This window comes from Homo sapiens, chromosome 14, assembly GCF_000001405.40.
Source record: "Homo sapiens chromosome 14, GRCh38.p14 Primary Assembly".
Taxonomy (NCBI): domain Eukaryota; kingdom Metazoa; phylum Chordata; class Mammalia; order Primates; family Hominidae; genus Homo; species Homo sapiens.
The window spans coordinates 94,016,539-94,025,700 of NC_000014.9; the positions used below are offsets into that span (position 1 = coordinate 94,016,539).

At 51.2% G+C, this 9,162-nt stretch overlaps 1 annotated feature.

The window, feature by feature from the left end:
* Positions 1-500: an enhancer, noted in NCBI's record as "H3K4me1 hESC enhancer chr14:94482885-94483384 (GRCh37/hg19 assembly coordinates)". NCBI's record gives its function as "activates a minimal SCP1, AML or CMV promoter by ChIP-STARR-seq in primed H9 embryonic stem cells {active_cell/tissue: H9 hESC(primed)}" and the evidence as "EXISTENCE:reporter gene assay evidence [ECO:0000049][PMID:30033119]".

The following is a 9,162-nucleotide window of genomic DNA, read 5'->3' on the forward strand; positions in this document are numbered from 1 at the left end:
TGCCAGTCTGGCCAAAGCCACTCCATGGGAATGTCTCAAACATCTCCAAACCTGGGGGTTCCTCCATTTCCCTTGACTGGAGTCTCCAGAAGGTGCTGGCACTGTTGCCGTGCCCTTTGCTGCCAAAACTTGCTCAGCCCTCACTGGCGGCTGCTGGACTTTCTGTAGGACTCAGTCATGCATGGGATGCTGCATTCACAGATCCAAGAGAGGGAGCCTCATCCCCACCTGCTCTCCAGCACCATGAACAGTGCACATGCTGAGGGCAGGAGCCCTGTGTCCTTTATCTCCAACTCCCTGTGCCTACCGGGGGGCTGGCACAAAGCAGGTGGTGCTCGGTGTTGAAGGAACAGGTGCGTGTGTGCATGAACAAGGGAGTTAGGTTCCTCACGGGGTACCAGAATGCTGCTTACTGGCTACCGTGCATCCCTGAGTTGTCCCCGCAACCTGTGAGCCAGAAAGTTTTTCCTAATCCCCTTTTATAGGAGGAAACTGCAGCTCAGTGTGAAAATGTGCCTTGTCTGAGGCTACACAGACAGTCAGTGGTTGAGCCTGGACATGAATTCAAGTGCATTGGGCTCCAAATTGAACCACTGTCACTGTCACAGGACAGTTCAGTAGTAAAGGAACTGTAAGAACAAGAGCTCACGTGTGGGATGCTTGCTGGATGCTAAGCTCATTACAGCTTAGGCAGCTTTCCCTGCAGGAGTGTTTATCCCATTGTACAGATGAGGCTCAGACAGTTTAAAAGCTTTCCCAAGGTCACATAGCCATCATGTCTGCCTCCTTTCAGAGTTAGAGCTCTCAGCCACTATAGGCTGAAGGGAGCATGATAGTGAATCGTGATCTAGAGGCAGATTGGATGGCTCAAGCGCAAATGGAAGACAGCCCACAGACAGAATCAAGGGATGAGTGTGTTATTGTGTATCCCTGCCCAGGTGTGGTCTGAGGACCACATCGTGGGCATCCCCTGAGAGCTTGTGAGAAAGGCCGAATCTGCATTCAAGTGAGGTCCCCAGGCGATCCGTGTGCGCAGTAAGGGTTGCAAGCGCTGGTCTGATTTGCTCTGAGGTGGGTCTGAGTCTAGCATTGCCTTCCAGTGAGAAAGTGACTCTTGTGGACAGCTGGCATCATCCAAGGCTTCTGCTGCAGGGGCTGTGACCCAAGAGACATGAAGACCCTGGCCAGCCAACCTTCGACCCCCAGCTTGCACTGGTGTGGACACACACTCAAGCTGCAGGACACAGGGCGGGATAAGCCCCAGTCCTGAGCGTGCTTTTGGGGAGTTTCCTTCTGCCCTGATGGCCATTTTTCCCATCCCTCTCTTCCCTGGCCACTTCCTGTCTCACCTCCTCCATGAAGCCTTGCGAGTTGTCCCGGCCCTAGGCAGAGACAGCAGAGCTCTCCCTGGGCTTCCAGCCTCTCCCACAGGCTCCTGAGAGCACCTGCCTTGTTACAGTCATCACTTAGTTGTTTCCACTCTTCTCTTCCCCACTGGAAGGAGAAGTTCTCAAGAGGAAAAGCTTTGTCTTAACCACATACCCAGAGCCCAGTGTGAAGCCCAGTCCAGAACAAGCCCTCGGTAAATCTGTGTTGTACATCCTCATGTCCTCAGAACACGTGATGAATGAATGAAATTCTCAAGAATAGGAGTAAATCTCTAAGTGAACATTTTAAGAAAGGTGTAGAAGTCAAAAGTGAGGGATATTTAAGGGGGGGCAGAAGAATATCAGCTACAACTTGGTCTTCGGGATCGACTGTGTCCTGTGCACAGGGCACCACACCACCTCGCGGGATGAGCTGCCTCTCTAGCACCCATTGGAGGAGCCCTGCGCAGCCGGCCAAGTGCCCATGAGTTTTCTAGGGGAATTACTGGGGGAAGAGTTCCCTCGCCCAGCCTCCACAGCATCATAAATCACAGGAATTCTGTCACCTGTCACCCTAGGCTGCTGCCAAGGAATCTGGAGGGAGAAGACTCATGAGCCAAGGCGAGGATGGCATCTGTCTCCCGGGAGCCAGCAGGACTTATCCTGGGCTGAGTGCAGCCAAACAGGCCCATGGGGCCCTTTCAAGTCCCTCAGACTCCCTGGCCCTACTGACCTTTAACATGGAATTGGGATGGGAAGGGCTAGAAAAACAGGATGGGCACCCTAGGGCGGTGTGTTTGTGTGTGTGTGCGTGCATTTAAATTACTGTCTGTTCCTAGATTATTCACGGTGGCTGGATAGATTATCACCAATTCTAGAGAATGGATTTGGGAAGATTTGACTAAAAATAAGATCTCATGATAGCTACAAAATTGGCTGATGAGGGGGTGAGGTCGAGAGCTCTCTAACTTTCTTTTCTTTCACATAGAGCAGTGTAGCACATCACTGAAAGGATTTCAAGGCTGGGCGCGGTGGCTCACGCCTGTAATCCCAGCACTTTGGGAGGCTGAGGCAGGTGGGTCACGAGGTCAGGAGATCGAGACCATCCTGGCTAACACAGTGAAACCCCGTCTCTACTAAAAAAAAAGTACAAAAAATTAGCCGGGTGTGGTGGCGGGCGCCTGTAGTCCCAGCTACTGGGGAGGCCGAGGCAGGAGAATGGCGTGAACCCGGGAGGCAGAGCTTGCAGTGAGCTGAGCTCGCGCCACTGCACTCCAGCCTGGGCGACAGAGCGAGACTCCGTCTCAAAAATACAAAAAAATTTTAAAAAAAATTTCAAAAAGTTGATATAAGACCTCTAACAATTTAAATGTTTCTGTCACATCCTGCACTGGATATGGTGTGAGGGGTCCTCCATCATTATTTGTTTCTGCATGATTGATTTCAATTTTTCTATTTCCTATGAGCACCCATAAGAAATTATGTTAGGCAAGATGCTGCTATCTAGAAGATGAACAAACTTTAATTTTCTTCCAGCAAATACCATAAAGGTGAGAATTGCGAGAGTCGAAAAGCCAGTTTGACAGGAACAAGTGGTCAGCCTGGGAAAGGCAGGTGCTTTCAAGGGCAACCAACACTGATGCCTGGGCTCAGAGGGAGACAGTAATTAGCTCAAGGTCACACAGCAAACAGGCAGCAGAACCCAAGTCTGGCTGACCTTAAGGCTGGGATGCTTTTCCTGATCAAAGCTTCTCAGACTTTCCCCCAACATCCCTAACGGCAAAGGAGAGTGAACTCGGACCTGCAGGGCACTGGCGCGGAGGCCAGAGGGGAAGCACAGGATTTCTTTGCAGTTTCATCAGAAAATTTTATATAAGTGAATTTGCATTCTATTTCATAATGCGTTGCTCTGGTACAAAAATTATGTTTTGTCCTTGTAACAATCTCACAGTAAAATAAGTTATCCAGGAAGCTGCACCTCAAGTCCCACCTGGCAGAGCTCGGAGACCCGGGACCTCTAGGGAGTAGCTGCCCTCACCCCACACAAGCCTCCACTATCTGTAAACACAGGCTCCTGTTTCAAGAAGTTTTTACCAACCACTCCAAGCCCAAGTTTTTCTGAGCTTTGCTCTCCAGGGGCCTGGAGCATTTCTCGAAATCACAAAGCCTCGAACTTTTCCATTTTTTATGTTCTGGGAGATGTTATTTGGGGAATTCCCTCAGGCACTGCGCTCTGCTCCGTCTAATGGAAGCTGAGCTGCGCTGGTGTCGGGTTGCCCCATCCAGCCAGCCAGGTGGGCCCCCACTCTCCTGCAGCTCCACATCCAGCCCACCACCAAGCCCTGTCCATGTCCCCTCCTGCTCTTGGACCTTTTTCCACTTTTCCCCATCTCTGTGCCCCACCTGGACTTGACCACGCCCATCTCTGGCCTGGACCACTACAGCGGCCTCCTTCCTGGTTTTCTGCTTCCACTCTTGCCCTCTCAAACCCATTCTCCTCACAGCAGCCCCAGCAATTCCTCAAATAAACAAATTCAGTCATGCCCACCCTCCCTCTTGCCCCTTCCATGGCTCCCTATTGCCCACATGTCAACCCATTTTCCAACGCCTACAAAGCCTGCATGGCCTTGGCCACCTCTCCAGCCTGATATGAAGCACTCGCTTTTCCCCTTTATTCCTGTGCTCCAGCCAGACTGGCCCCTCCCAGTTGCTAGAATTCACCAGGCTCCTTTTCAGGAGGTTCACTGATGCTGTCCTAGCTAACTGTATTGTTGTCCCTTTAGCCCTTGCCTACTCCCACTCATTTATTCAGGGCATTTTTCCTGAGTGCCTGCTACGTGCCTGGCACTGTGCTAGGTACTCAGTGTACTGTGGTGACCTAGTTCTTGCCCTCTTGGAGCTTATTATCTAACAGGTGGAGAGTTACACGGGAATAATCACGAACTGTGAGAAATGCTAGGATGGGAAATAGCAAAGTGCAAAGGAAGAGACTATCAGGGTGGGGACAGGGAAGAGGACAAATGAAGCCTCTTCCAACTCATCCTTAGACCTCAGCTCAAAACTCACCTCCTCTGAGACGCCTCCCCTCCCCGCTAGACAGGCCAGGCCCTTGCTCATCTGCTCTACAGTTCCCTATTCTCTTCTTCCCCAGCACTTGCCATAATTTGCAATTAGACATTGATTTGTGCAACTAGAGCAGTGGGGAGGAATGTGCTGTAGAATACCTACTCTGCCTCCAGTGGGAGCTTGGGGAGGTGTCCCCATCCCCAAGGCTGTGTTCATCCACACAATCATCTAGAGATGTATCATTAACCCGTGCCATAGAGGAACTGACTGAGGCTGGGAACAAGAGAGGCGGTGTGAGTCATCTACTGCTGCCTAACAAATTATTCCAAAGCTTAGCAAAACAATGACCATTTATTATCTTATTCCTATGGGCCAGGGATCTGGTCATGGCTGAGAAGGGTCCTTTGGCTCTGGGTCTTTCCAGAGGCTTTGATCAAACTGTTAGCCAGGGCTGCAGTCTCACCTGAAGGATCGACCAGGGAGAATCAGCTCCCAATTTCACTCACACAGCCATTGGCAGATGAGGTTCCTCCCTGGCTGTTTGACTGAAGGCCTCAGTTCTTTGCCAGCTGTTGGTGGGGGGATCTCCCTCAGCTCCTGGCCCTGTGGATCTTTCCATAGAGCAGTTCCTAACATAGCAATTGAGGGAGTGAGGGTGAGCCAGCAAGCTGGAAGCCACAGGCTTTGGGAATCCTAATCTCAGAAATGACAGCCCATCACTTTGCTGTGCTGTATTGGTTACAAGCAAGCCACCAGGTCCAGCCCACACGCAAAGGAAAAGATTACCCAAGGGCTTGAACACAGGAGATAGAGGGGGCGGGTAGTCACTGGGAACCATTTAGAGGCTACCGATCACAGAGGTCACATAATCTTCCCAAGGTCTCGTCGCTAGAATGTGCTCCAGCTGCCTTTGGGAGCTGGGCTCTCTGTGCCCACCACAGGGAGCAAGGACAGGGCAGAAACAGGCAGCTTTCTCCAAGCCTGGGGACCTCCTGCTGCTGGTCTTGGCCTTTCTGAAAACCACAGCAAATGCACCTTCTCCCATAGAAACTAGAGATGGTTTCCTGCCCAGCCCAGGAGGCTGAACGGGTTACAAGCATTTGCCATGTGAGCTGAAAAACGCTAGCTTTCAAAACCCAGGCCCTGCGGAACCCACAAAGGGGTGAGTGGCTGGAAAACGGGCCCATCTATTACCCTCCTGGGGCTGTGTGTAAACTGAAGAGGGCGTTATGCCATGGTCCTAACCCAGCCTTACAAAATGACTTCTCCTCCCGATTTTCTTGCCTTACACTTGAAAAGCCATTCATGCCTCCTCTGGTGCCCTCTCTGGGGGTTCAAGAAATCCCACAGTTCTTTTGTTTCTCCTCTCAAAAACGAACTCACTATATATCCTGTATCCCTGGGCTGGTGGAAAATTAACTCTCAGTTATTTGGGGGAACTCCCTCCCCATCTTCACCCCCAACCCCATTGGGGTGGCATAGTCCGGGGCAACTTAGTGCAGAACAATTGGAGGTTATTTCCCCAGGAGAATGTAAGCTGAGTGACAGCAGCGACTTTCGTCAGTTTCATGCAATGATGTGCAGTGGGTGCCTGGCACATAGTTGATGTCCAGTAACTCTTTGCGGAATGTTGAATGAATGCGTTTTGCCTTGTTGCTACACCCCTCACCCAAAACATGCTCCTAAGGGAAGGACAAAGGAGTCTCCGCCAGGCTAGGGGCCCGAGTTCCCTTACGCAATACAGGCTTGTCCTCTCAGGATCCAACATGTGACTTGTGAGTGAGGAGTCACTGTACTGCACTACGAGTCTCTTCTGTCCTAGGACACCTGCTTCTACCCTTCCTGGATTCCAGAAACTTCTCCCTACTCAGCCAGATCCACCTCCCCATTCCCTAATCCCCCCAATCCCACTGTTCTTCCTAGAAAGATCCTCTTTTCTCAAAAACAAAAGCCTCTTTCTCACCTTTGCCCTTGGGGGTGGGAGCCAGGACAGCCATTGGCTCCAGGGCCAGCCCCCAGCTCTGCTCCCTGGGACTGGGGCAAGGGAGGAGTGAGGGGAGGGCTAATTCTAGCTCTTCTTTTTGATCTTTCCCAGCAGTGAAACAACACCTGAATTTGTATCTCAACAAGTTTTCCAGCTCAAGGTTGCAGGAGGAGAGTGCTGACACCCAGCAGAGGAAACTCAAAGTCTGAGCCTGCACTCTGCATGGAGGTGAAGTGCTTTACTTCCTGGGGGCCTGGTCTTCCTACCAAGCACCCTTCCCGCAGCTGGTGGGGTGGGGAAGGCGTTGTCAAGTGAATAAAATAGCACAGTGTAACCAGCATCAGGAAAATGGCCGCTCTTGCCAGCATGGGTGTGGCTGCCTGAAATGCTTCCATCATAGCTTCATTCCATTGATCTAGGGAAACGGCAGAAAACCCCCTTCTCAGGCACCCAGACACCATCCTTGGTGGGGCTCCTCCCTGTAACATGCAAATCTATACCAGCTAACAGAAGCCGTGAGTCTCAGGCCTCGTGGTGACCTTGTCCCCTTTAGGGTTAGTCACACCAGGAGGAAGGAGACTCAGGCCCCGACTAGCCACCAAGCAAAGCCCACATTTGTTAGGCACTTACTGAATGCCAAGTACAATGTTAGTGCTTTTCACGATCATCTCATGTAATCTTTGAGATAGGAATGAACACTCCCACTTTACAGGTGAGGAAACCGAGGCCCAGAGAGGTATGACTTGCTCAAGGAGTAATGCCATGGGAAGGGTGACATGAACATACTTGACTCCGCTGCCCACACTCATAATTACCATGGCCTCCTGCTCCCTCCAAATCCCAATAGCAAGGGATCAGCACCAAAGGAGGACAGACATGGTGGGGAAATTCAAAGGGATTCATGACCATCTGGGCAATCCGGGAAGGCCTCATGGACAATGACCCAGGATTTGAAAGACAGGTGGTATCTGACAAGTGGGCATTCCAGAAGGAGCAAAGGTACAGAGAGGTGTGAAAGCACAAGGAAGTTTCCAGGCCCTCAAAGCCATCCCTATAAGCTCATGTATTATCGGACAAGTGGGGAAGTCAGGGAGAGAAGGTGAGAAAGGTGGGCTGGGGCTCCATTGCAAAGAGTGGGATGACGTCAACCCCGGAGAGCTCTCTGGGTCTGACCAGGCTGAGAAGGGCCAGACCGTGAGTGGCATGGGCAGCAGAACCCAGCCCTCAAATCTTGGGCATCTAGTACCCAGGTACACAGGTCCTTTGCTGGAAGACAGGACACCCAAAGCCTCCTGCTTCTCTGGACTTGTGAAGCCCCAGCTGCCATTCCCCGATCCCTCCACCCAGACACCTGGACAACAGGGAGAAGGGGTGCAGGAAGGTTGGAGCAAATTCATTCCAGACAGAACACACGGATCCCCTGCCATGGGCGGCCCCTAACGACGCTGTCTGCATTTTCGATGCAGACCCAGCTTGAAAACCCACTGAACCCTTCTGCAACTTTTTTCCTTCTAACCAGGCTTTAGAGAGCTTACGAGGAATCTTGATTAGTTAGACTAAGGAAATTACATTTTCCCTGCGAATTGAGCTAAATTTGAGGAAATATTCTGTTACGCATGCACTGAGATTCTTGTAAGATTGTGTGTGTGTGTGTGTGTTTAAAGCCTTCATTACTACAAATATTAAAACAAAACAAAACAAAACATTTTTAACCACCCAGATTGTCCAACCCTCTCACTGAGTGAGGAACCAGAAGACCAGAGAGGGCCTGGGCATTGCCTGGGGTCACACAGCAGTGAGTGGCAGAGCCCAAGGGCCCAGAATTCCTCATGGACTCCAGCCCAGTGCTCCTTCCACACTCCCATGCTGGCTTGGTTTGGAACTGCTGGGGCCTGAAGAAGGGCAGAGAGTGAGCCCAGGACTCGGGGCTTAGTGCAGCCAAACTTGAGGGCTCATCAAAGCCTTGGCTGAAAAGACTCTTCACCCATACCCCTCACTCAGACACCATGGAACCTGGCTCAGTCATTCCTCCACAGAGGGAAGCTAACACGCCTTGGAATGAGCACTGGTTGGGGAGTCAGGAGTCCAGGGATCCAGCCCAGCCAGGCCACTTCTTAGCTCAGCAGCACTGGGCTGCTCCTGTCACCTCTCTGGCTTCCTTGGCGGTTAAAAAAAAAAAAAGAGCGAGAAACCCCCCGAAAACAAATGGGGGTCAGGGGCGGAGGCAGGTAACACAGCCCCTGTAGTCACATGCAGAGTGAATTCGAAACCAGCTCTGGAGTCACACTGCCTGGGACTGAATCCCACTTCAGTGCTATGTGACTAAGGCAAGGAACGTAAACTCTCTGTACATGTTTCCTCATCTGTGAAACAGGGATAATAATAACAGGACCTACCCCCTTAAACCAGTTGTGAGGAAATTAAGTAAGATAATTCTGTATATGTGGAGAGTTCAGGATAGCGCCTGATACATAGTAGGTGTTCTGCATAACTGTGTAAATAACTGTAAAAAATTACCTGCTATTGTTACTGCTCCTTGAGCCTCCATTGACCTCACACTCCCTGCCCAGGACATGATACATGCTTGGAAGACTCAGATGTCTGTATGCCCAGAGCCTAGCCCAGTACCTGGGACTTACGTAGTAAGAGTGGGGCGCGGGGGGCGGGGGCGGGGGGCAGCAGCAGGAAGGGGAATTGCTCAATACACGCTCCTGGAAATATTAATTTTTTGAAGTGGATGCATGC